Source organism: Homo sapiens, chromosome 3 (genome assembly GCF_000001405.40).
Source record: "Homo sapiens chromosome 3, GRCh38.p14 Primary Assembly".
Lineage (NCBI taxonomy): Eukaryota > Metazoa > Chordata > Mammalia > Primates > Hominidae > Homo > Homo sapiens.
Genome location: NC_000003.12, coordinates 125,966,165 through 125,993,499, shown reverse-complemented (window position 1 = coordinate 125,993,499; position 27,335 = coordinate 125,966,165). Strand labels below are relative to the sequence as shown.

The following is a 27,335-nucleotide window of genomic DNA, read 5'->3' as shown; positions in this document are numbered from 1 at the left end:
AATCAATTGTTTGACAAATGGTGATTTTCTACCTATGTAATTCCTTCTACATTTATTAGTTGGCATTCAACTTTAGGGAAGCACTTTTTCTTTCTTCCTTGTTAGTGGGGACTCACTGATTCCTATTTTCTTCAGTGGGTTATGATCCCTTATTATCACTTTATTTTGATGCTCAAATTGTCTCAAATTTGGTCACTGGGAGCCCCTTGAAGTTGACTCCTGTATCATTTTAACATGCCCCCATTACTTTTTGAGCCGTTCCTTACTTTCTACAACAAGGTGCTCCCAGTTCATCTTTTTTTTTTTTTTAATAATTGCCACAAGGGTATTTAAAATGAGATCTACCTTCTCAACAAAATGTAGTATTAACTATAGACATGATATTGTTCAGCAGATCTCAAGAATTTCTTCATCTCACATAAATGTAACTTTATACTCGCTGAATAGCAACGCCATCTCTCTCTTCTAACAGCCCCTAGGAACCACCATTCTATTCTGTTTCTATGAGTTTTAACTATTTTAGATACTTTATATAAGTAAAATCATGCAGTATTTGTCCTTCGGTGACTAGCTTATTTCACTTAGCATAATCTCTTCAAGGTTCATCTCTATTATTGCATATGACAGCTATTTCCTTCTTTTTAAAGGTTGAATAATAGTCCATTGTATGTATATACCATATTTTATCTATTCATCTGTAGATAGACATTTACGTTGTTCCTACATCTTGGCTATTGTGAATAGTGCTGCAATGAACACAAGAGTGCAAATATCTCTTCTATATCCTGATGTCAATTCTTTTGGATAAATGCCCAGAAGTAGAATTGCTGGGTGATATAGTTCTATTTTTAATTTGGTGAGGAATCTCCATATTGTTTTCCATAGTGGCTATACCATTTTACATTCCCACTGACAGTGTACAAGGGTTCCAATTCTTCCAAATCCTTGCCAATACTTGTTTTTGTTTTTGCAATAAGTCATCCTAACAGGTGTTAGGTGATAGCTCATTGTGGTTTTAATTTGCATTTCCTTGATGATTAGTGATGTTGAGCATCTTTTTATATACCTGTTGGTCCTCTGTACGTCTTCTTTGGAAAAATGTCTATTCAAATCCTTTTTTCATTTTTTAACCAGATCATGTGTTGTTCTGCTTTTGAATTACAGAAATTCCTTATATGTATTTTGGATATTAATTATTTATCAGATACATGGCTTGGATTTCTCCCATTCTGTAGATTGCCTTTTCACTCCATTAATCATTTCCTGTGCTGTGCAGAAGCTTTTTAGTTTGATGTATCCATGCTCTTGTTATATTACCCCTGCTCAGCCCTGGAGTTGGTCATTTCTCCAAGACACCATGACTCCTGAGTGGACAGTGGTACTTGGAAACCAAGATCTAGGTAATAGATGTGTTCTTTGCTATTGGGGCTTCCAATCTTTTTTCATATGCATTTTTTACTTAGTCATATTAACTAGATATTTGCAATTTTGAATCTTGTGTTTTCTACTTTTAAATCTTTTTCATATTAATACTCAAAAATGTTTAATGGTTGTATAATATTTCTTTCAGTGGAAATAATATAATATGGTCTTGGTTTGTTTCATATTTTTCATAATTAAAAAAACCTGGAATAAACCTTTCTACCTCTTGAAAATAGCCTTCTCATATTTAGGATTAAAAGGAAAATTATTTGGTGAAAGGTTATTGGCAATTTAATAACTCTTGATACAAACTGCAAAGCTGCCCTCCAAAAGGAGTGTCCTGATCACAATACAGGAGAATCAGTTTGCTTTATTTTACACTTACTTCTATGGGGTTATTATCATTAAACTTTTAATTTTGCTATTTGAGAATCATATAAGCATTTCTTGGTAGTCATATCTCCTACCAAGAAGTACAAGATAATACTGCCCTTGTAGAATGACTTAGAGTGTACTAAGGTCTTTCATTTCCACTTAATCCATACCCTGTTATTATTTCTGTGAGGTAGGAACCTAAATTTCAGGAAAGTGGTTTGTTCAAAGTCATACATCTACTAGGTAAAATGTCTAAAAGAAGAATGGACTCTGGCATCAGCTTTGTGAGTCTGAATCTTGATTCCACAGCTGTGTAACCGTTAGGAAGTTATTTGAACCCTCCAGCCCTCAATTTCCTCATGTGTAAAAGACGGATAATGGTACCTACCTCATAAGGATATTGCGACTATGAAATGGGTTATTCTATGTAATACATAAAAGCACTTAAGAGTAGTATCTGCCACATAAGTCCTATCTAAATGTTAGCTGCTGTTATCATTAAGACGGTGGCAAACTACGTGTTTTCAAAGGAACTAAATTCTGTTGCATGTCTACGCCAATTGTGTGATGGATGTTTTTACCGGGTTCTCTCATTTAACCTTCCCAATTCTTTGAGACAGAATTTTATGCTTGTTTCTGCCTATTTTGCAGCTTAGGAATAGTAAGTTCCGAGAAGTAAAAAGTAGTGGAATCCCAATGTGCAAATACCTGAAGCTAAGAGAGCTTAAGTCACTGGACCCAGCGGCGAAGGCTGGGACTTGAACCCCGGCCTGACCCGAAAGCCGGCGCTCTAGAGGGCTACGACGATTTAAACAGAAACACATCTAGAGACCAAGCGGCTGTGTTACGAAGGTAAGATTAGGTGTTTCCTGCACCTCTGTCCCAGCACTTAAATGTCGCCGCACGGTCTCTTTTTTCGAGCAGAGTTTTACAAGTTTCTGGCCCGAAAACCCCCCTGTCCCTCTCCATCCCCACAGTGGACTCCTCAGGTCCTCAGCCCTCACCCGGCCCAGTTGAGATCCGGACATGACCATCTCTCGCAGCCTCAGAGAAGCCCAGACCGAGGTAAGTGAAGCCTCACAGAAAAAACAACCGCCGTGGGCTCCCGGACCTTCTTGGCCCGCCCCCCGAGCTTCCGCTTCCGGAAAGGATCACGCCGAAGGCCGCACTTCATAGTCTCCGACGCACCTCCAAACCCTTTCTCCTGCTCTAGGCCCAGCGCCTTGGACGTGCACAGTAGATCCCTCCCGGCTTCCCGGCTTCCCGTCTCGTCACCCTCTGGTAGGGGATGGGAGAAGCCAATAGCCGGCAAACGGGGCGGGGGCGAGGCATGGCTGGGGCGGGGCCGGGGCGGAGCCGCCGAGAAAAGGGTTAAGAAGCCGTTCCAGGGCTTGCGGTGGGGGTTCGGGACGAGGACCCGCCAGCGCCAGAGGAAGGGACAGGAGTAGGAGGCGGATAGGTTTCAGAAGGAATTGCGCGCAACTTTTTGGATTTTCGCTCTTTATTTTTAGTTTGGCATCGTGTGCCTTTTGGATGATTTTGTTCTTGATATTCTATAAAAATAAGACCTCCAGGTTGTTATCTTGCGTAGATGTGATGCCAATTTCAGAATTATTCCCTGTGGCCACTGATCTCAGAACGATGCTCGTTAGTTGGGATTTTGGGTTTACTTCCATGCGTACTTGTCTCCTCTTGTGTTGAGGTAATTACTTTTGATGAAGAATGACACAACATTCTTAGTATTGGCATGTGCACTCATTTTAATGAGGATTTTAGTCATTGGTTTTGGGGTTTAGGAATTGGGTTTTGGGTTGATGATTTAAATCAAGTTGAAGAGGGAGAACTCAGTTGATTCCATTTCAACTGTCGCCCAGGCTGGAGTGCTGTGGTGCCATCGCAGCTCAATGCAACCTTCGCCTCCCGGTTTCCAGCGGGATTCTCCTGCCTCAGCCTCCTGAGGAGCTGGGATTACAGATGCGCTCCACCACAGGCGGCTAATTTTTGTATTTTTAGTAGAGACGGGGTTTCACCATGTTGGCCAGTCTGGTCTCGAACTCCTGACCTCAGGTGATCTGCCCACTTTGGCCTCCCAAAGTGCTGGGATTACAGGCGTGAGCCACGATGCCCAGCCTCGTTTCTTTTTAATGGAGAAAAGAGCTACCCTTTAAAAATCTGTTACAATTAATGTCAAAGCCCAGGAACTAAAATATGTCCACCAATATATCACACACTTATCCTGAGTGATTTTAGGAAACTTGAGTATTTCACAGATTTAGTTTTGAATTAGATCAAACTGTGAAAACCTCTCCTTTCCTTCCCCAGCCCTCACATAACTTCATAACTTTCTAACATATTCACCTGAAATTAAGGGGTTTTTTTTTAGTTGTTGGTTTTTAAAAATTCATGTTGACTTTTCTTAATACATGTTTATTTTAGAAAATATAGATAAGCAAAAAAGGAAAAGACCACCCATAACCCCATTGCCCGTGAGTTATCACTCTGAACAGCTTGGTGCATTCCCTTCAAGATTTTTTCCACCTACGTATATATGTATAAATGTATTACAACAATATGAAATAATAGGTATTACTGTAACATGAGTGTTTTCTCTTAATATCTAATCAACATTGTTTCTCATTAATCTACAGTTATAAAATGGCTGCCTGGTGTTCCATGATTCATTTCCCTAGTGTTGGGAATGTTATGCCCCCACCCCACTTTTCATTTTGTTATTTGCTATTATAAATAATGTTGCAGTGAGCTGAGATCTGCAAATGAACTAGAGAGTGGAGAGCAGAGTATTCTAAAGATGTGGAGACAGCATGATGCTGAGAAAGAGAAACCCAGAGAGGCTCTTGCTGCTGAAGTATAGACAGTGGGGATGGAAATGTATGTAGGGCCAGACTATACAGTCCTCATAGGCTACATGATTTGGCTTATTATCCTAAGGCCATTGGGAATATGTAAAAGTTCAAGCAGGGGGCACAGTGAACTGACTGGGGTTTTACAAAGATCCATGGCTGTAGTGTAGAGCAGGAATCTGAAATCTACAGTCCCTGGCTAAATTCAGTCTGCCATTCTTGGATACAGCCTGAGAACAATTTTCACATTTTCAAGTAGTTTTTTTTAAGTGAAAGGAATAATATTTTGTGATGTGAAAAGTTACCTGAAAATCATCTCAGTGTTATAAAGTTTTATTGGAACACAGTCACACTAATGTGTTTACACATTATCTGTGCTACAACTGCCAAAGTTGAGTATTTGTGATAGAGACCACCTAGCCGGCCAAGCCTAAGATATTTACTATCTGTGCCTTTACAGAAGTTTGCTGATCACTAGCATAGAGGATGCTTGAGGGAAAGGCAAGTATGGGTGTGAGCAAGTTCTCTCCTCCTGCATCCATTCTCTGTCCTCCCCTTGGACCGACATCAGTCAGACATGCCCTCCAGCTTCAGGTTCTGTTTAGTCGATAGAAGAGGGAGAGAATGGGATATTCCTGCTATCTCAGCACCATTTGGCTGATGCACTGGCCCTCTGCATCATCAGGGGAGCCCCTGGAGCTCCAGTCTTCTCACACTGTAATAACATGTCCTTCTCTTTGTCTCTTCAGTCTTAGGGATGATAACGGTTTGCTAGTCCCTGGGTGCCTCAACCCCCTTGTTGTTTTCCTTGTCCATTCTGTAAAACTTTTAATTATCTTCAAAACTCTAGATTGTCTTCTGTTCCCTTTGAGGACCAGATTGATAGAAAGTCCAGATGAAATATATTGGTTGCTGGGAGGGGATGAGGGGACCTAAGGGAGGTGGTGGTGAGGGAAAGTGAAGAGGACATATTTGAGAGATGCATAGGAGATAAAATGGAGAGGACTTGGTGATAGAGTTGGAAAGTAAGGCAGGGGGAGGTATTTGTTGACCCTGGTTTCTGGGTTTTGTATCTTGGCAGATGGTGGGAGAGGTCCACATTTAGTAAGGAAGCTTATGAACTCATTTCTCTCCAACATTTTATTATGAAAAAAATGCAAACCAGGAAAGTCATTTTTGGATTTGTTAAATTAGGGAGTACTTTGGCGTCATCCAAGAAAAGATGTCAAGTTAGCTACTGTATAGTTGAGTCTGGAGCGTGGCAAAGATGTGTGGGCTGCAAATACACCTTTCTGAGTTGCCTGTGGCTTCCGAACTTGCTCTCAAATTACTTCCTCAAGAAAGCTTCTCTATCCTGCCCCTGCAAACTAGCTGTGTGCCCCATGCTTCTACGTAGTAGCATCGTTTCTCACAATTATAAACTTGTGTTTAGTTATGTAATGTCTGTCTTCCTAAGTATAATTTAATCTCTCTAAAAGCAGGGACTTCACCTTGTTCAGAGCAGTATCCCCAGTGCCTAGCACAATCCTTGCACTTGTAGGAATTTCTGAATTATTTGTTGAATAAACCAATGAATCAACTATTGTTTGGACTGCTTTGGTGCATTGGGGCTGACAGCTACTTGAATGTCCGAGGCTCGGGATTATCCAGGACTAGCCCTTTGAGCTTGGTCCGGAGGTTTAGTCCTTCTAGTATCATGGATACACAACTCTGCTTGTCTATCCAGTCTTTCATAATTCAGCACATTGAACCAATTACTTTGCCAATTGGCTCACCTCTGAAGTGTGAAAGTCTCTGTTCAGGTTTGACCATGTTCCAGTTTATAGGAAATGACCAAAGTTGAAAGTATATGAAGATCTAAACTAAAAACACCGATTTATGGCCAGGATCTAAGATTCAAAAAGTAAGAGGCTGTGGATAAGAAGTCACATGTTGGGAGCGTGAGCTCAGTTCTGCTTGGAAAGATCTGAGAGACTGTGCTGTTGTCTTTCCTCAAGCCATTTAGTGCTCTCTGGGGCTATTTTGAACCCAAAGGTTCTTGGCCTTTTGAGATAATATACAACTTTGAGAAATTGCTCAAAGCCTTATAATTTTTTCTTCAGAAAAATGCTAATGAGCACATTTTGGAGACATGGTTACATATATAATGTTATCAGAGGCACTCAGGAGCCTCTCCAAGGATTTCAGGTTAAGATTCCTATTCTAACCTAATTCAAAACCAGCCTTCCACATTGGGGTGTCCAGCTCCTTCTGTTGCAGGGCCCTGGTGATCCTGGAAGTAGTTGGTTAACTAGGGATGGTAGGTCCCTGATGGAATAGCATCAAGGAGAGGAAGGGCATGGAGCATAGAGAAAATGGAATTGGGCCATAATCTTTGCATTTCCCACTGAAGCTTATATATCTGCAGTCTTCACTTTAATCAAAATAGCTTAATTTAGGAAAGAAAGAGCCCACTGTTTTTGCTTTATAAAATCCTGATTTTATTGCTTCCTGAAATTTTTTTTAAAGGAGAAATACAAACCATACGTTGCAAGGGCCTTCGTTTGACAGTTTAACTGGGGTCATGCTAGGACTGTATAGATATTGCTGATTATGATAGGAAAGCCAGTGGGATGGGTCTGACAAGGATCTGTTGGCAGCAAGAATCAAGGGACCCCCTTTGGAATGATCCCATCACAAGGAAGAAATGGTTGGGGACAATGTGTCATGTTTGTGAGTCAGTTGTGAATTTTAATACAGCACAATGATGGTCACTTATTGCCCTGCAGACCCTGAAGACTTCTGCGTGACCCAAAGAAAGAAACATTAATAGTGATTAAAAAATGTTAAAACTTTGTTGTATTAAAATATCTGTAAGGCAGTGTAGCAGATGCAGGTGGCTTCTTATTGTGATCATCTATGACTTCCTGGCCGAGAGCCTTTTTCCTGGAGCAAAAGAAGCAAGCTGAGGCAAGCTGGAAAGGCAGAACATTAATTCACCTGGAAGAAGCCCTCAGTCAACGACAGGTGGGGATTATCCAGTGATGGATGAAGAGCTTCCTCACCCTTCGATTGGGATAACTCTGAGATGTGTTCTATGCTGTCTCCCAGAGTTCCCCAGCAGTATTGGAGTACAGGGGTAACTGGCTGGATAACACACCATTTATTAGCTTTCTTCCCATCACTATAATATCTTACTTTTCCTATCCCTATTCCCTGTTCCTGGGATCGCCTCCTAAAGAAACTATTTGCATGTAAATCTCTGTCTCAGGGATTATTTCAGGCTGGGGGTGGGAGGAATCCCATACCTAGACAGGCACTGAGGATATATACAAGGCATCATAGGTTTGGAGTCAGATCTGGATTCAAATTCTTTCTCACCAGTGACATTGAACAACTTAATTTATCTAAGATTGTTTGTTAGAGATAATGACACTGACCTCATAAGGTCATATTGTAAGGAAAAATTTGAGAATGTATAAAGCCGTGTACACAGTGGCTTACACATGGTAAGTGCTTAATAAATGTTGGGTATTATCATTAATACAGTATTTATAATATTGTTAATACAGCATAGCCCAGGTAGAGGGCAAAGCACAAAGCTGTTTTCCATCCTTGGGGTGACTGCAGAAGCAGGTTGATTTGGCAGATGTGCTGTAGATACTGTGTCCCTAGTGAGCAGCTGTGGCATAGCAATATCAATAGCTTAGAGCAAGCATTGCCCCAGTGAGCCAGGGCAGGAGAGGAGGAAGGTGGTGCACACCAAGTGGTGGCTCAAAAGATGAGCAATTGGCAGTGAACAATGGTATTGCCAATTGTGCTTAGTCTCAGTAAGCACGGATAGCTACAGCACCAATAACTTCATGTCTGTGTCTAGTATACACTTGGGTCGTTGGAATTTCATTAGCCTCACTCTTGAGGGATTATGTTCAAGGCTACCAAGACTAAGTTTCTGATTTCAACCTGTTTTCCCAAATGTACAAGGGACTCTTGCTTTTGTTACATTTATGAACCTAATTTGTTATTTTAAGGTCTTTCAAATTGGAGCTGTCTCTTCTGTCCCCCTTTATTCCCTATTTGCAGACAAGACCATATTTCAGTTCTTTGGCCACAGTGAAAGAGAAACTGAGACACCAAGAATCTGAGGCAGGTTAAAGGATTTCACTCGTTCTCTAATCCTGATTAATTACAGTGTCAGGTTTCACCTGTAGTGCTTCAGACTTCTCAAACAGCCTTAGGTTCCAGAGCAGATAGAAATGAGGGGCCACTCACATGTATACATATGTAACAAACCTGCACGTTGTACACATGTACCCTAGAACTTAAAGTATAATTTAAAAAATAAAGAAATGCGGGGCCACTTTGGCTAGGAAGGCAGACAGCAGGTAGCATTAGTTGTTGCCCATCCCCTGCAGGTGCAGCCCAGTGCTATGGGGGAAGAATTTGTTTCAGTCTCTTTTATTGTTTCACTCGAGTCAGAAATCAAGGACCATGGTAACATCCAATCACAATCTCCTCTTACCTTTAGACACTAATAGACAGATTTCTCCTCAATTGATGTAGAGAGACATATGCATGTAACATAACATGATTTTTGACCAAAAGCAACTTTTAAGAGGGGATAGTATTACAAATACAAGGGACTGACCCAGCGACCTTGGCACACCTGACATTAAGAACCAGAATCACAGTCTATTAATCTCATCTGTTTCCTTCGAGAAAGGAAAATGTTTAAGACCTTGTCAGAAGGTCTTAGGCTCATGTAGGGGATTTTCTCTAGTGGGTTCCATGACATCTGTATATGGTTTCAGAAAAATCCATTGACATTGACACTTTCTGGAATACTGTTAGTTCTTCTCAAGGCCATTTGCATGAAAGTAATGTATGTTCATGGCTTTTCTTATGTTAGACTGTGAGCTCCTTGAAGGCAGAATTCAGATATTATTTGTATCTGCTCAGAAGCCAGCATAGTTCCTGGAATGTTGCCATGTTTAGCAAAAAACAAAACAAAACATTTGCTGTTTGTCTGAAATTCAAATTTAACTGGGTGTCCTGTATTTTTTCTGGCAACCCTATTCCTGGCACATAGCTAACCTCAATAAATATTGATGAGTGAGAGGATGAATGAATGACTAACACAGTACCAACAAATGGAGAAATAAACTGGTAAAAACTTCAATTGACCATATAAAAGACACTCATCTAAATTATGCCTAACAATCACAGAACAACACTGTGTCTGGTTAACATACTGCTTTTTAAAATCTGACAGTCTGGCTTTAATGGGAAATGCATTTTCTATCCATGCTTTGTCACCCACTTTTACTCAGGGTCCATGTGGGAAGAATACTAATCTCCTGGTAATGAAGGTGTTTTGTTCCAACAATTTCACATCTTAATTCCGCACATTTCTGATCTCACATGTTTGTTTATTAGTGTGTACCAGTTGTACAAGAAAATTGATTTTAGGTGGTATATGGGTTTATCATTCTGAAGTACAATCACCTCTGTATCTTCCTTTAAAATTGCCAAAATTGTGCTGTTACTCCAGCCAAACCCTGGGGTTTTGGGTAAAGTCATTCACCGTGATTAAACCATCAGGACCAATTCTGTTTGGATAAAGGTATATCTGCAGTTAGTTCATTGACAGTTAATCTTAAGAAAGACAATATGCAAACAACTCTCATTTCACATTAATTCTGCTGTTGCTCCTTTTTCTCTTAACTTTGTTTTTCTGAGACAGGGTCTGGCTCTGTCGTCCAGGCTGGAGTAAGTGATGCAATCTCGGCTCACTGCAACCTCTGCCTCCTGGGCTCAAGCCATTCTCCCAATTAACTGATACAGACACACACCACCACGCCCAGCTAATTTTTGTATTTTTAGTAAAGATGGGGTTTCACCATATTGCCCAGGCTGGTCTTGAACTCCTGAGCTCAAGCCATTCACCCACCCTAGGATTACAGGTGTGAGCCGCCATGACCAGCCCTCTTTTCCTCTTAACTCTTGACTTGCTGCTCCTCCTCTCATCCTCCTCCTCCACTTCTGTTCCACTGGTCATAGCTAAGCATGAGTCAGAGTTACTGGAGGGGCTTATAAATACGCAGATTCCTGGGCTCCACCCCTAACAGTTTATGATTCCATGGGTCTAGGGTGTAGCCTGAGATTCTGCATTTCTAACATGTTCTCAGGTGCCGCTGCCGCTACTGCTAGCCTCAGTAGCACTCAAAGAATTATTGTCCTATATCATTCTTTTCCTTCCTCTTCTCCTTCCCTTTCTCCTTTTCTTTCAGATCGATATTTCATGTCCTCACTTTTCTGTTCCCAGAGCAGTATAATACAATAATCTCACTCTGTCTTGGCCCCATAGATTTGTTTTCCTGGTATTCTTTCACCTCCAATTGGTAAAAGTTAACTTACACTTCCTGTTCAATGTAGTTTAGCATCCTGCTGACATGTGATGCACAGATCTCCCCATCCACTTCGGCAATATACGTGTAGAGAAACTGGAAGGTGCTGAATGGGATTCGGGGCAACCCACCATTGTGGTCACATGATAAGACCTCACACACTATCTTGAGAGTTTTGGTAATAGTCTATAAAAGTTACATAAAATGAGGAGAAAGTTACTCTTCCAGGCAATATTCCTGAGATCCATTTAGATACAAGAAAGAAAACAAAAATATTGCTCTTATAAAATGAAGTGGGAACAATTTAAGATTCTAGAAAGCTTGAAATTTTTACATTCAAATGTCACTAATTCATTCTAAAAAATATTGAGTATTGGGTATCTTTATTTTTCTTTCTTTGTTAGAAGACTACTCAAGGAATTAAATTTATAAATTCCTAAATACTTTAAGATATTTGTTACTTTAGTCTGAATACCCTCACTAAAGGAGGGAAGTTGATTTGCATTCTATATAATTAGAATTATTTCTTATTACCCTCCAATCTTATCTCTAAAGGGCTGAGATAAATGGTCTAGCCTATATACTCCAGCAAGACACAGTAGAGGAGAAGAAGGTAAGAGAAGGATAATTTCCCCAGGAAAATAGAGTCCCAGGAAGATACTGGAAAAAAGGTCTTGAACATCAAGATAAACCTTCCTCCAAAGCATCTGGGTCCATCTAAATAGAATCACCTAGTGCTTTATTTCATTTTACGTAATACTAACCCTTTTATTGCTGGGGAAATATTGGTTGAGAATGAGTGCCAGGAATTTTAACAGAAGGGTTACTACAGAAGCAAACCCTCCTTACAATGAAACTTGAACATTAAAGGAGCATGCTCAGAACTCATCTCATGTCTTTAAATAACCCACCCTTTGAATAAATGTTACAAGCAAAAGAGTTGTGAAATGAAGCTCAGCATACAGATCTTGGTGGTTTACTGAAACTGGTGATGTACGGATCATCCTGACACACTCTTCCAGGGATCAGTGAAAGATCAGTCCTGAGTGGTGACTTAGGGTGAGTGAAAAAGCAGCTGCTGTATCTTCCCACATGATTAGTAGAGGAGACTTGTCCTGCCTTAGCAGTTGATGTCTGCTGTTCTCCTCTCATCCTCTCCCAGAACAGAATGATTGCCTAGATGAGGCTTCTCTAACTGTGGTATGTGTTACCCAGGAGCATAAGTCTATGTCAGGAGGTACTGAGGATGTGAATAAACTCTTCCTTGAGTGATAGTTTTACTTGATGGCAAGTAATTTAAACATAATTTATAATAATTATTAATTTTAATTGAGTTAATATTTAAAATTTGTTTCTTTACATTTAGTAAGCATTGTTATTTTATGAAACAGAATCTTCAATAAACCACACGATGTCAAAAAAAAATGAGTTTGAGGCAGGCCACCTTCCTTTCCTCTCCTCTGTCCCTGGGGGTCCTATCATGGAAATCATTGTGAAACACTGCATCTTCTAGGCACTTCCACTTAATTCAGAGCAGGTGGGAGGGCAGGCATGGGGCTAACAAGTATATATGCGGCTATCTGGGAGGATGGTAAGTCATGCTTGTGAGTGGGAGAATGCTTTGGGGTAGATTTGCAAGCACACTCTGAACTTTATAATTTCCACCCACAGCTCACCCGTTTCTGTAAAAAACAAACAAACAAGCAAACAAAAACAACCCTCTGCACCCCTAATGCTTTGTTCTGTTGCCCTCTCCATGGGGTGGTGGTATGGGCTGAATTGTTCCCCCTAAAATTCATATGTCAAAGCCTTAACCCCAGAACTGGAGAATGCAATTGTATTTGAACATACGACCTTTAAAAAGATAAGTTAAAATGAAGTCAGTAGGGTGTCTTTTTAAGAAGAGGAGTTAGGACATAGAGAGAGCCACCAGACATGTAGGCACAGAGGGACACAGTTCGAGAAGCTGGCCATTTTTAAGCCAAGGAGAAACGTCTCAGAAGAAAGCAGTCCTGCTGACAGCTTGTTCCCAGAACTTCTGTCCTCCAGAACTGAGAGACAACAAATTTCTGTTGTTCAAGCCACCAAGTCATGGCAGCCCTAACAAACTAACATAGGGGCTTTCAACTCTAAACATCATCTTTTATTGATTATTCAAACAATAACCCTTCAAATTCTATTGCCTCGTAAGATTTTTAAATATTTTTAAAGATTTAATAAATGGATGAGTGGATAAATAACTGTACTAGAGCTATTTGGTAAACTGACATAAATCTAAAGGAAACAGATCTTCATTCTCTTGCACAATATTTTTTTGGGGATCCACTTCACAGAGGTAGTCTTTAAACATCTTGCGAGCTTCATTTTCAAAGTCAGAGGTGAAAGCCTTGAAATGTGAATAATTTGCTAAAAAAAAGTCATTCTTTCCAGTGAACATGATTATTTTCTACATACGTGATCTCTTCCTTTTTTAATAATCAGTTCAGTGGAACAGGAGGTGGCATAGGCCAGTCCAGAGGAAGGAGTGCTGAAGGGGGGAGGAATACAGGTCTGTGTGCCATCGCATTCTGAATAATGTGTATTCGACGCAGAGAGCTCAAGATGGAGTAAATGTACCTATTACCTACCGGAGTAAAAATTCCTGTTACTAGACTCTTCTACAAGGAACAAACTGGCTTTTCTAGATGACACAGAGATCCTGTCTTGCCGTTGAATTCGCAAAGGAAAGAGAAACTCTGGGCTTGCCTCTAAGGATATATGAATTAACTAGGATGCAAGGTCTCCACCAGATGGTGACCCCTGACTTAGTCTCAGCTATAATAAAATACCTTAGACTGGGTAATTTATAACAACAGAAATTTATTGCTCACAGTTTTGGAGTCTGGGAAGTCCAAGACCAAGGTGCCAGCAGATTTGCTCTCTGGTGAGGGCCTGTTCCTCATGAATGATGCCTTCTATGTGTCCTCACTTGGTGGAGGGGCAACTTTTATAAGGGCACTAATCCCATTCATGAGGGCTCCACCCTCATGACCTAATCAACTCCCAGAGGCCCTACTTTTAAGGCCATCATCTTGGAAGTTGAGATTTCAATATATGAATTTTGGGAGGACACAAACATTCACACTGTACCACTGACCAACCCCACATTTAAGATCCCAGAAACAGTCCAGCATGATAGAAATGAATATAAGGGTATTGATTACTGGATTCATAGGGCACCCCTTATTTACAGACTTAACCTCCAGGCTGACTTTACCTCTAGGGGTTCTTTGACATGGGGATGATGAGGAGCAAAGTCAGATATGTCAAGGCCTCTTAGAATTGGAGGAGCTCACTGTTATTCAGAGGTAGGCCTGAGGGTGTCTCAGAGGAAGCAGAGAAGTGGGGATAGAATCACAGGATGTCAGAGGTAGATGAATCTCATGGAACATTGAATCCCACCTCCTTGTTTTAGAAGGGAAGTAGAAAGATCCAATTCACCTCATGATTTCCCCTCTCTAGTTTGGGAGGCAGGTACATCAGAAGAAACTTAGCATCTACACGGTGGGCTAAGCAGAGGGAGGGTTGGAATTTGACTTTCCAAAGTCACTCTTTGTTACTCTGAGGTATGGGGATAAGGGAAGGGCTCAGACACATCACACACTGGTGAGGGGCTGTGAAGTAGACCACCAGAGCCAGGGAGCAGATAGCACACCCTGGCGGACTCAAAGAGGCCCTTGACACCATTGAGAACTGAAATGAGCCAGCTCGGGAGGCATCCTCAGACTTTCACCAATCTGGGAGAGACGAGACCAAAAACTTAAGCTGCAAGCAGCTAGCGACCAGACAGATAGGCATTACCATGGAGACCAGAGATGCCAGAGAAGACTGAGGGATGTGAGAAACGACTGCTCTGTGGTCCTCTTTCCATCTACATTCAACTGCCATCTTGGAGAAGAGAGCGTGGTGAGGAAAAACCTGAGATACTGGGAAATGTACCTTTAGGCTGTTTCAGTTACTGCATCAGACTAAAATTTCAGGATTGGATTGAATTTATTTATTTTCTTATTTGACCCTTTGTGGGTGGGGTAGACAAGATCAGAATTAACTGCAGATAAAATTTTAAAGGTACATTTTCCCCCAAAACGTCTCCAAATGTGGTGTGAAAAAAATCTGTAAACCTATGAAAATTTAATAAAATGTGTTCATTTTTTTATCTTCCCGTTTGTGATTTTCCCGTCCTGATTGACAACTCATAGGCCTCTGCTGCTTACTTTCCTTTCCTCCTCAGAGGATAGTGATTTATTCAGTAATAAATGCTATAAAGGACAATGAAGAAAAAAAGCCACAAATGTCCTCTTGTTCACTTCTCTTTAAAGCAATGATAAACATTGTAGGGGAAGCTATAGGAAAAGTTGGACTACAATATTTCTGCTAAATTTTCTCAGAAACAAACGTGTCAAATATGCATTCCAAGCATATTTGAGAAGAACAAGATTATGTTTAGATATGCTGAATGATTCAGACTACCTTTTCATACCATTTGTTTTTGGCAGAGGCAATTATTTTCTCAATAATTTTCAAACTTTTATGTATCTCAGGGATTCTTTTTAAAAACCATGTTTTTGATTCATTTTATTTTAACAATGTTTAACAATGTAAGTCCACATATAAGATACCCAAGCTTTAAATATCTATACATATAAACTGATTTCAACATCTTTGGCTTCAAAACAGTAAAATTGTTTTTCCAATATCAAACAAGTCAAATTTGGAAAAGGCATAAATCTGTATGAACATCCTGTATCCATGGAGATGTCATGACTAAATTCAGAAATAGCCTCATCTCTCTTTGTTTTTGCTTTCTTATGTCTGAGTTCTGCATCCAATTCTGTTTATTACATAGTTTTCTATAAGATTGTACCCCTTTTAAACAGTGTCTATTGATATATATTCTAGGTGTCTGGAAGTCTTTTTCTACAGTCGGCTCTTGGTTGTCTCTGGGAATATGAATGGAAGGAGCAGAGTGAAAATAAATCTGAGGGCAATATTCATAAATAATCCAAGAGCTACACTGTAGTCAACTCTCCCCAGAGCCTGACCACAGTGTTTCCCTCTCTCCTCCTCCCAACCCCTGCCACTGCCTGACGAGCACAGAAATGACCTTGCTTTAGAGAGGAGAAGGACAATAGGAGAAGAGGCATGTTTATCATCAGCCCTGCAGAGTTGACCGCGTGTATAGATGCACTGCCCTTCCAGGCCCAGAGGGAGATTTCCCCTTCAGGAACAAAAAACAGTCAAGCTAACTTACAACTCCCAGAGCGCTGCAAGCAAGGGCTAAAAACTTCAGCCACTCGATCTCCTCCGTGAAGCGACCCACATTCATCACACTATTAAACAGATCTGTTGGGAGATTCACCACTTTCCACATCTGGGCCAGCTCCTCTGCACGGATGATCAGTCTGCCAGCAACCTGCAGGGCAGGGGACAGACACAACACAGAGGTTGTGGGAGAAGTTGAGACAAGGCCCTGAGAAACACCCTGTCCCCAGGCCAGGTCCACATCTCCCAGCACATGGCAAGGGGCGGGAGGGGGTGTTAGGAAGGTAAAGATGGCTCTGTGTGGCAGTTACCTTTGCAAATCCTAGTGAAGAGCATGCTGAAATATAATTTATTAATTGTCAAACTTTAGGTGTCAGAATTATGCAAAAGATATACATTTATATTACATTTTAATTTCTGGTGATGCTTTTATCTGCTATTGTATTCCTAAATTGTTTTATTCCTTATATGACAGATAGAAGAGCCTGAAAACAAAACCAAGGGGTAGAGGGCTTACCTGAGACCACTAATTAACGGTAAAATTAGAACAAGACATAGGTCTGTTTCTTCCCGATTGCACTGAGTTCTTAGCTCTAGACCTCAAGTGCATCCCTCATGCTTTCCCAGGAATGATATGGGGTATGTGGCTGACCCACGGGGATTTGATCTGGCTGCCTAATGTTACTTGATCCCAGGTATTTTAGAGCTCTGTCATGTTCACTGCACAAGGTGCTTGGTGGACAAAAGGAGAGAAGATGACTGGTTGTTGGCCACCAATGCAACAAGAGCACAGATGCCCGATGAAGTGCTCCAACACCTTTCCTGACTGTCTGATTCTAGTGAAATGCTAAGCCTCTGGGACCAAGGTGGTTAGCCAAGCCAGTCCTAAATCACCCCAAACCGCTCTGTCCTGGATCATAAAGCAGGGTTTGGTGGTGCTCAACCATATTTCCTGGGAATTGGCCAAACCACAAACTTTCTCAAGCCGGACCCTCCTCATGCATTCATTCACCAGGCAGCTCCCAGGATGATGTGGCTATGAAGAGGCTCACAGCCTCTCCCTAAAAGCTAAAAGCAATGTCTGGACCTGGGATAACTGGGGAGCTAAAATATGCCCTTCCCCAAACTGTGATTGGCATCATATTATGGTCTTGATCAGTAAGGAGACACTGTCGAGTGACTGAGGACCTGCACTTTTCTGGAGAGACAAGATTAGCATTGCATTGAGCCCCTGTACATTCTGCCAGCTTCAAGGAAATCTGGGATGACCCCACCAATGACTCAGCCTGCAGCCTATTTCAAAATTATTCCCATTTCCCCAAGGGAAGATTTACTTTCAGTCCACGGTTTAGTGTATTTTAGGGTGGTGCTAAGTGGTCAGCTGACTGGCAGGAGAACAGAGGGCTTTCGTCTGTACCCACCCAGCCTCAACACTGTCCCTACATTCTCCTCAATGCTGCAGCAGGGCCCTTACCTGAGAATGCAGGATCTTTAACAGCTCAGGTGTTAGCTCTGCCCAGTTACACAAAGCGACTCGCTCAGACCGCTCTCTCACCGGAGGCGTCTCTCCACGGGACAGGGCCTCAAAATAACTACAAGAAAAAAAGTCAGAGAGTAGGAGGATCCTATACACCAGTGGCCTCTGGCTGTTCTAGCAATCCTTCCCCCTTCTTCTGAGGGAAGGAGGTAGAGAAAGGAACCTTTGTAAAGTGGCTTCTATGTGTCATTGTGTTTAGTTCACTTACATATGGGAAAAGTCTGAATGTGTTACTCTCCACTTAGGGCACAGAGAATGCTTAGAGAATACAAAGCTTTGTTCTTCTCTAAGGATGAGGAAGAACCAAGAAAAGTTTGGGTATGCAATTCCCTGGAGCATATTGGGTTCAGGGTTTTTTTCCAGTCATCTCTGAATGTTTTATACACACAGATATATGTTACATGTGTATATATAATCTTGGGAAGAGAAGTTGGAAGAGAACTAAAAAGTAATGTACGTAAGAAAGGGGAAGGCAGCACAGGAATGGTGGCTACGGCCTGTAATCTGGCAACTGCAGAGCCTGAGCCTGGAGGACCACTGAGCCCAGGAGTTTGAGGAGGCAGCGAACTATAATTGTGCCACTACACTCCAGACTGGGTGACAGAGTAAGACCCCCATCTCTGAAGAAATGAAAAAGGAGGAAAGGGAAGAGATGGAAGCATCCTGGGGTGAATCAGGAAGGATTTCTGGCCGTATGTAGTGAGGCTTGGGGCTTCAAGAGGGAAGGGAGAGAGGGTTGGCAGGGCACTGTGCAAGGCTCAGGAGAGAAGAGAAGCCAAAGAAGGTTTGAGACAACCTTAAGCTATATGGTGCCTGTAAAATAAAACTGTTTCTCCATCTTCCCTCAAAATTTTCAGTGAAATCTGCCTGCTCCTCAATGTTTTGTGGAGTGGACTTTGTTTGGGGGCATTGTGGAACAAGTACTGAGTTCTGTTTCAGGACTGGCATAAGATGAAAAGAGGCTGCCTGCAGCAGGGAATGGACATGAGCCGCTGACATGTGGGTCACCAAAGCAGCATGGCAGGGTCTGTCTCCATCAAAAGCCTGGTTATTGACGATCCATGAACCACAAATTTCTGTTCCGCCCTGCTTTTTTCCCTCCATTACTTCCTCCAGATCCAGGTAGTATGAAAATAATATAGAGGGAATTTTGTAAAAGCCCACTTTAGGGTCAAGCCATACAATGATGGGCTAACGATTGCCTGTCTCTAAGCCACATAGCAAGGCAGAGTGAAAGCTACATGGACTAAAGGAGTAACTGCCGGTCACCACTTGGAGGTCATCAGCAGGAAGGGCACCTTTAACAATGTGCTTGAGAAATCTCTGCACACAGATCAGTGTTGGGGTGGGCGGGGTGTGGGTGCACTGTGACAACAGGAGCAGGGTGTGGACTCAGGCTTTATAAACCAGACTTCCAGACTTGGGTGGTATAAATGGGAGGGACAGAGACACACAGCACCTCATTCCACAGAAGTGCTGCCCGGGTAGAGTAACACTCAGCAGCAACATCTCTGGACTTCTTGTGGAATTGGTTAGACAACATGGAAGCAAAGCTGTAATCATGGATTTCATTCTTTGGGTTATTGAGCTTCATTTGCAAGTGATCAGGTCCATGGTTATACACATATATTGCAAATTTGAGTTGTAACACATGCCTACCAGAGGACAAATAAGTATATGTCCTGCCAATACCTGGTAAGAGGTTTCTTCATTGACAACACATATGTAGGGAAATTCTTACTTGCAATGGATTAAAAACGTATTTTGTCTTGGAAACACTTTGCAGAGTTTTATTCTCTAAAATGCTACAGGTTTTAAGTAAGTCACATACAACCATCTGAGCAGTGCTTTTCATGTCTGGATAGAATGGAGGGGGCTCTTAGGTCATGCCCTCCTTTTTCATTGTGGTTAAACTACAAACTAAGTTTTCATGGATGTCTAAAAAAATTATAGCACGTGATACAATACGAGAGCAAGCAGTCTACAATAGTGGAATGCCTCTTCCATAAATGTCAGGGACAATACTAAGCAATGTCATTTTGCTTACTATAAAACGGCAGCACAAGAACAATCAAATGGGTTTGAAACTAACGTATAAGATAAAGTCTGTCTATCTGACTATGCCAAAATAAATTAGTCTTCTGAAGCTAAAGTTCAATCTTAGAGGCAATATATAAAATTTAGAATGGAAAACTAAACAGGGCTTATTACTAGGCAAAGCAACCCCCATTTATGTTTCTTTTTATGAGCACCACTGGCCTATTTTCCTTCCAATTGTAAAAGCTGCATCCTAATCCAGACCAGGAGCACAACACTGGCCCAGAGACTCCGAAAGGCCCCTCTTAGGTGCCATTTTGTGTCTTCTCAAAGGTGTCCACACTCTCCCCACCATCTGCCCAGGACACCCACTCACAACCTCAGCCTGAGGACATCTTCCCTTCCCCAACTCACTGGCTTTCTCTCAACGGCCTCTCTCACTCTCACTTTCCCACTGAAACCCTCCTAAGCAGGGAATCATCAAACAGTAAAAATAGCCTGAAAATGGTCCGTGAGGTCTAGTTATCTTCCAACTCCTGTCTCAAGTCCTGGTTCCCCAGTTTCAAGCAGGCAAGTTTGTCCAAGGAGCAATTTCATAGCTGAGAGGCTTTCTGTGCAAAGCTACTTCAATCCAGGCCCGCAGCGATTGTTGTGTAAGCTCCATCTACTGAGCAGCCTCTGGAGGTCTCTCCTGAAAGAAGGCACCCGTGTTTGAGGCACACTGTTTTCAGCCATGCCTGAGGACCCCATCACTCTGCCTGGCCTTTCCCCAGAATGCAGTGTGTACTGTGAGGACATCATTATGTTGGCAGAACAAATCAGTTCAGAGAAACACCAAAGAAAATAACAATAATTTCCTCAAAGATACAAAGCCTCTTTGGTTGGGTCCAAGTATGAGTTTTAACAGCAGGGGAGGAAGTGTCTCCTTAAAGGAGTGAACTAGCAGGACTGGTCCCACCCCATCCACCCAGGGCTGTCGCTTCCCTCCCCCGGCTGCACTGCTGCCATCTAGTGGTGAGACAGGAGAATGAAGAAAGGCAGATTAAGCTGCGGAGATTCCCAGCCCTTCTTTCCACCGAGAGTGGGAAAAGGCGTGCAGGGAGGAGGTGGGTGTGCATACGCTGGTGTGACGCGGTCATCTAACTTGCTGCTTGCCCCAGGACACGGCCTATTGACCTGGCGTCCTACTGCTCAATCTGGCTCGCTTAGGGGAGGCATCCCATCCTTGCCCGGCTAGATGTAGTATTTATGTGTGGATTTTAAAGCATCAAAGCAATGCAAGAGCTAAAACAAAGACGATGCCAGTTAGTCCCGACCCCCTGGCTGCAGCCATGACAACCTCCGCGGTTTTACAGGACCCTCTCTCCCCGCCCGTCCTCCAAGAGATGAAGGCGAGAAAGGAGCACGTACTCGGCCCCCCACTGGATGAGGTCCTGCGGCTGCGCCCGAATGGCGGCTTTGGCAAACTCCTTCAGCATTTTCGGCAGCTCCGGCGGGATGCATGTTGGCTTATCTGTCTGAGCCATTGATTGGTTGACCTATTCTCAGGAGAAAAAATACATAAGATGAAAACTTGGACTCATAAGATGAGAGCAATCCTGGACAGGAGGTCACCCAGCCTCTGTTTGACACTCAATTTTGGGGACTCCGCAAGACAAATGCATTCTATTGTTACACAACGGCAAGGTTAGAAAGCCGTCTGCTAACCCCTACTTTTTGTTGTAAATAGTTATATCCTTTACGTAAAAATTACACAGTCCTTTTTTATTTAAAAAGTGGAAGTCAACAAAAAAATCCCTAATGGTATCACCCTAAAATATTGGATGTCTCCTTCCAGAATTTTTCAGTATAAATATATATGTTTGTAAAACAAAAAAATAAGATTATGCAAAACAGCTTATTTACTCAAAAGTATATCATGAACATCTTTGCATGTCATCCAGCTCTTATTAGCTAGGTAAGAATTGTAGCAAAATTTACTCTGAACCCTCTATGAATTAACATTAGGTTATTTCCATATAAAAATAGTCATTAAACAGCCATTTGATGAGCGTCTCTGTTTATAGCTGCATGTTTTTTCAACTCTAATTGTCAGGCGGAAAACTCGTACATTTTCTCTCAAAAAGTTCCAGGACAAATTGAAACAAAACATGAACATCCATAAAATATATACAATTCCATCCACAAATAAACAACAGATCAAAAGATTTTTTTCTGCTTTTAGTAGAGAAAGGGACAGACTAGATATGCTAAAAAGCTGTCCCTCTTCAAAACACCTAGAGGCCAGACAAATCTCAGTACAAGCCTTTCACATTGCCTTGCTGGGCTTGCAGTGAAGTGAGAGAAATCTTCCAGTGGCCAATGAGGTGAGGAAAGGGGAACCCGCAGTGCTGGGCAAATGAAGAAACTAGGGCTCACCTGGGCACATGTAGATGGCAGGAACTTGAAGCTTTGAGATAAATTGCTAGGCAGGGTGGATAGAGACCAAGGATTAGGCTCACAAAAGGCAAATGTCTGGACTAAAGGACTCCCCTTCTGACCTAAACTTGAGACCCGCCCAGGGACTACACCCTCAGCGTGAAAAGGTGTGGCTGAAAATATCTGCCTACAGGCTGGGGTAAGCAACAAAGAAACCTGTCTCCATTGCTGCTTCTAGTCAGGAGAGAAACAGTCCCCCAGGAGTTGGTAGCCACAGACTAGTTCTAAGTTTTCCATTTATACCAACACCAGCATGGCTCGGAAATCCCAAGACAAGAAACTAAAGTGGTCTTAGATTGGTGGGACTTCATGACCTTTTACTTTATTTATGTTCTTTTATTTGGAGGAAAAGGATGATAAAATAATGATTAATTTTAGACTTTGCAAAGTATTAGAAAAGTTTTAACAGTAATAACCACTAAATCTGTACAGAGGAAAAAAGGATTTTTTAAAATTTTTTTAGTATTTATTGATCATTCTTGGGTGTTTCTCGGAGAGGGGGGAAGAAAGGAATTTTTAAAAAACACAAAAAAGCAAACAAAACATGCCTCCCAATGTGAAATGGCAGCCCAACGTATACCTGCCAAGTGCTGAAGAATGTAGGTCTTAAAATAGACTGTATAGTCTTGTTTCAGGGATTTCTCACTTGTTTTTATTGGTATGGGCTAAACAGGGCTTCCATTTCATAAATGAAAGTCTCCATTACATGAATGAAAGGCTCCAGGGCAGAATCTCAGAGGGTTTCTATGAGCGGCTTGGAACCAAGCACAGACAACTGCACATCCCTGTTTGGGTTCGGAATTGGAGGTGGTGGGTTTGGGATGTGGTTACTCTTGTTTGGAATGCATTCTCCTCCTCTTAACAGGTTGATTCTTCCTTTGGAGGTCTGCTTAACCTTCCCTGATTACCCTGTCAGTTCCATTGTACATACCCTTCCAGAGCATCACTTACCTATCCTTAGTGTGATTCTTTGAGTAACATGTGTCTCCCCCAGCAAACTCCACGGCAGGACTGGTCAGTTTTTGCTCACCACACCATCCCAGTGCCTAGCCCAGTGCCTGGAACTTAGTGTTCAATAGGTACTAGTAAAAATGAATGCGTGATAGCAGTCTATGAAGTGCTAGCTATAAAATGAACACGTGATAGGAGTCTATGAAGTGCTAGGTATAAAATAATGCGTGATAGGAGTCTATGAAGTGCTAGGTATAAAATAATATGTGATAGGAGTCTATGAAGTGCCAGGTATAAAATAATGCCTGACAGGAGTCTATGAAGTGCTAGGTATAAAATAATGTGTGATAGGAGTCTATGAAGTGCTAGGTATGCCCATTGGTCCACATGACAATTCACCCAGAGGTATTTTTATATCCCTGTCGCTGATGAAAAAGCAGAGGTGTGGCTCCTCGGTGGAGGGCTCTGATTCCAAACTCTTGAGCCTCCCAACCACTGTCCTCCGGGTAAGAAACCGTATAATAGTATTCTGGGTACAAAATACGCACACAAATTGGCCAGAAAGCCATAATCCCCCACAGTCACATTCTCTTGAAGATCCCCTTGCCTTCCCCTTGCCCTCCCCTTGCCCTGTGAACAAGGAGAGGCTCAGAATCCAGGGGGCGTCCGGCAGGGCTCCTCCCTCAGACCAGCGCAGCCCTCGGGGCGCTCAGAGCCCTGCCCTCCCTCCACTTCCCCTCGGGGTGGCTACCTCAGGCTCGCTCCCAAACCGGCTGTCTGGCTTCAGGCGACACCTGGCGCCTGGCCTCAGGCGAGAGGTGTGGGGAGAGACCGAGTGCCTCCCACCCTTCTTAAGAAGGAGAGCAGTAGAACCTCGGCGGGGAGGGCAGCAGCGGCCGGGGGTGACAGCAGCGGCGGGGCACGACCGCCGTTAGCGTTAGACGTTAGCGCTCCGCCTTCGCCTGGCAAACCCTGCGCGGGCTCCGCTGCCAGGTCACCAGGGGTAGCGCCGGGCGCGACGTCACAGAGCCGCCCCGCCTCTCCTGCAGCGGCGGGTTCCCAGGGTCCCGCTAGGGCGCTGCTAGGGGACGCTGAAAGCTGTTTTGGGCTTTGCTGGTGGTGGAAGGACCAGACGGCCTGGAGGGTTAAGGACTGGGCTGGGGACGTTAGGAAACCCGGGCTGGGGGCGTTGGGGGTGGGGCGGAATGTGTAGCCATTGACGGTGCGCTTTTGTAGGTGAGAGGGCAGAAGTGGAGCTTGATCTTTCGGCTTGTGGAAAGTGGACAGGTGAGAATTCCTCAGGAATCATAGCAACAACACCTCTTACAATGCGTTTTTGGTGCCAGGAATTGTTCTAAGTGCATTACACACATGAACTCATTTCATCCTTACTGTCACCCCATGAGGCAAGTACTATTGTTATCCCCATTTTTACAGATGAGGGAACTGAGCACAGAGAGGTTAAACTTGTCCAAGATGACAGTCAGCAAGTGACAGAGTCAGGATCTGAATCTGGGTTGCGTGGTCCCAGATTCCTCACTCTTGACCTTATAATGCTAAGAAAGGGGCATGGAGTGGATAGGAACAGAGCCTGAGATGCCTGGGGACAACAGGGAAAGATAGAAAATATTTATAGGGTAGAATGTGGTCACTGTGCCAGGGCACTTTTACAAACATGATGACATCAAAGTTTCACAGTAAACTCTGAAGGTAGATATTACCTTCGTTTTAGAAAACAGGCTCAAGGCTTCGAGTAATTTTGCCTGTGATCAAACAGCTGGCAGTAGGGCCCAGGGCCCAACTTGTCTCCAGGTCTTCTGATTTCAAGACTGTTGTTTTTGTTTTGTTTTGTTTTGCTTTGCTTTGTTTTGAGACAGAGTCTCACTCTGTTGCCCAGGTTGGAATGCAATGGGGTAATCATGACTCACTGCAGCCTCAATCTCCTAGGTCTAAGCAATCCTCCCACCTCAGCCTCCCAAGTAGCTGAGACTACAGGTGTGTGCCACCACACCAGGCTAATTTTTATATTTTTATAAACAGGGTTTTGCCGTGTTGCCCAGGCTGGTCTTGAACCCCTGGGCTCAAGTGATCCACCCCCCCTTGGTCACCCAAAGCACTGGGATTACAGGTGTGAGCCACCGCACCTGGCCTCAAGACTGTTCTTTTTAAGCACCCAAAGAGGCAAGAAAAGCCCCATCTTTCTCTGCTACACCCCGTGTCACTTCACACCCATATGAAAGCTGCTCATTGCATCATGTAATCCTTCAGTCCATTTATACTACAGTGTGTATTAGTCTAAATCAATTAATTCACCCAGGGTCTTCAGAGCTTTCTCTGGTTGTGAGATGAAAGCCTTTGTCTCTCCCTAAAGCAATTTTAAGCATCAGTGAACAAGTGGGGGAACTAGATTTTTGGCTTATGCATGCAGAAAGCTTTTCACAGCCTGTTGTCATCCATTTGTAAAGAGGCCACTCTGCTGGCATTTGTCAAAATCCTGCAGGTCCTTGCACACCTGGAGAATCCTGGATGGTCTGGGGACGGCCACTGCCCACAGGGCAAGATCTGGGGATGAAAGAAACCTAGTCACTAGCTATCACCTATCTTTCTGAGGCCTCTGTGGAGGGGCTACCAGGTGTTGGTACAGGCACCTGACCAACAGAGTGTGCCTTAGGTTGGGAGGGGGAGGCTGGAGGCTTGAGGGCTGCAGGTGCATCTTCCAGGATAACAAGAATGCTCTGGCCACTGGAGTCTGTTCTGTTGTATGCACATGAGATGAAGGTGTGCCAATCTCTTCCTGCTTTCATGCTGAGTAAATAATACTGACAGGAATGAATAATAATGATCTTTGTGCAGAAGAACAGGTTTTTCAGACAAAGCACTAACAGCTGGAGATGGAAGATGAAATAAAATAGAATTTTAGAGTAGCAGGTTAAACACAAGGGAGGAATTTCATAGCACTGTCTGACTGAGGTGATTTGATGTCTGTCTGTAGGAGGCCAGGTTGAGAGGCGTAGGTTAGATTATCCTTGATCTATCAGTCAATAAATAACAGGATACAATAAATAACAGGATACAGTCAAGAGAATATAATTTTACAGGGAAACGATAATAACACAATTCAGGAAAGTTGCTTTCTTCTAAAACAGAGGTAAGAGTAGAGAGGGAGGAGCACATAGATGTTACCGGTAGTGGTCCAGCTCTTGGGGTGGATGGTGGGTTCATGGGTGTTTATTATGTTTCAGTAAAAAAATCTGTCTTATATATTACAATAAAAACTTTTATTACATAAAATCTTTTATCAAGTAGGTTACATTGTTTTCTGCTATTTTCTTGTACAAATGAATATCCTTTCTTATCATTTCCCTTGTTCTACTAGATAATTCCCATCAATATACAAACATGCTCTAATTTCTCCCATCATTTTCCTCTTCAGCTTTCACCCATTTCTCTGCTTCCCTTTATTGCCAAGTTCTTTAAAGAGTTGCCCATACCTGCCACCGCTAATTTCTCTCTTCCAAATCTCTTTTTAATCTACTTGAACCAGGCTTTCATCCCCATCACTCCACTGAAATGACTTGTGTCAAGGTCCCCAGTGACATGCTGTTAAATCCAACATCATCTCTCAGCCTCGGCTCAACCTATCAGCAGCATTTGATCCTGTTGATCACTTTCGCATGATTGAAACACTTTCTTTCCTTGGATTCCAGGACATCACACTCTTGGTTTTTCTCCTTTCTCATTGGCTGTTCTTTTGCTTGTTCTTCCTCCTCTCCCTGACACTTTAATCTTGGAGTGCCCCAGGATTTACACTTGGACTTCTCTATCTACATGCACTCTCTTTTTTATCTCATTCAGTTTCATGTTTTGGATATTACATTTATGTCTTCAGCCCTAATCCTTCCCTAAACACCACAGTAGAACATCCAACTGTTTACTCTGCACCACTGGATGTCTAATAGGCTTCTCAGACTTAATACACCCCAACTG

At 42.7% G+C, this 27,335-nt stretch overlaps 1 protein-coding gene and 1 pseudogene across 6 annotated transcripts in view; one reads left to right on the top strand and one right to left on the bottom strand.

Annotated features, from left to right (window-relative positions):
* Positions 1 to 2,962: 2,962 nt before the first annotated feature.
* Positions 2,963 to 27,335, top strand: part of ALG1L1P (ALG1 like 1, pseudogene) — a 61,266-nt pseudogene continuing 36,893 nt past the window's right edge. For both annotated transcript variants that reach the window (NR_171197.1, NR_171196.1), the window contains exon 1: positions 2,963 to 3,078. The product of NR_171197.1 is annotated as an ALG1 like 1, pseudogene, transcript variant 6 (transcript). The remainder of the gene's footprint in view (positions 3,079 to 27,335) is intronic.
* ROPN1B (rhophilin associated tail protein 1B) lies at positions 10,046 to 24,322 on the bottom strand. 4 transcript variants are annotated; one of them, XM_006713513.4, is made up of 8 exons: positions 24,100 to 24,322; positions 23,349 to 23,461; positions 22,338 to 22,383; positions 21,330 to 21,457; positions 17,820 to 17,937; positions 16,335 to 16,496; positions 11,055 to 11,230; positions 10,046 to 10,246 (listed from the first exon to the last, which is right to left on the bottom strand). In XM_006713513.4, the coding sequence occupies exons 4-8, from the start codon at positions 21,443 to 21,445 to the stop codon at positions 10,180 to 10,182; spliced, it is 639 nt and encodes a 212-aa protein (XP_006713576.1). In that variant the 5' UTR covers positions 21,446 to 21,457; positions 22,338 to 22,383; positions 23,349 to 23,461; positions 24,100 to 24,322; the 3' UTR covers positions 10,046 to 10,179. The 4 variants fall into 4 exon arrangements, with proteins under 4 accessions (XP_006713576.1, NP_001295242.1, NP_001012337.1 ...); NM_001308313.2 differs by lacking the exon at positions 23,349 to 23,461; NM_001012337.3 differs by lacking the exons at positions 22,338 to 22,383; positions 23,349 to 23,461.

What these genes read in the sequence shown, in the direction of transcription:
- ROPN1B (XM_006713513.4), bottom strand. Translation starts at nt 21,445, where the DNA reads ATGGCTCAGACAGATAAGCCAACATGCATCCCGCCGGAGCTGCCGAAA. An exon ending in CTCATCCAGTGGGGGGCCGA is followed by an intron (nt 17,938 to 21,329) that starts GTACGTGCTCCT and finishes TTTTTCTTGTAG; the next exon opens with TTATTTTGAGGCCCTGTCCC. An exon ending in CTTGCAGCGCTCTGGGAGTT is followed by an intron (nt 11,231 to 16,334) that starts GTAAGTTAGCTT and finishes TAACTTTTATAG; the next exon opens with ACTATTACCAAAACTCTCAA.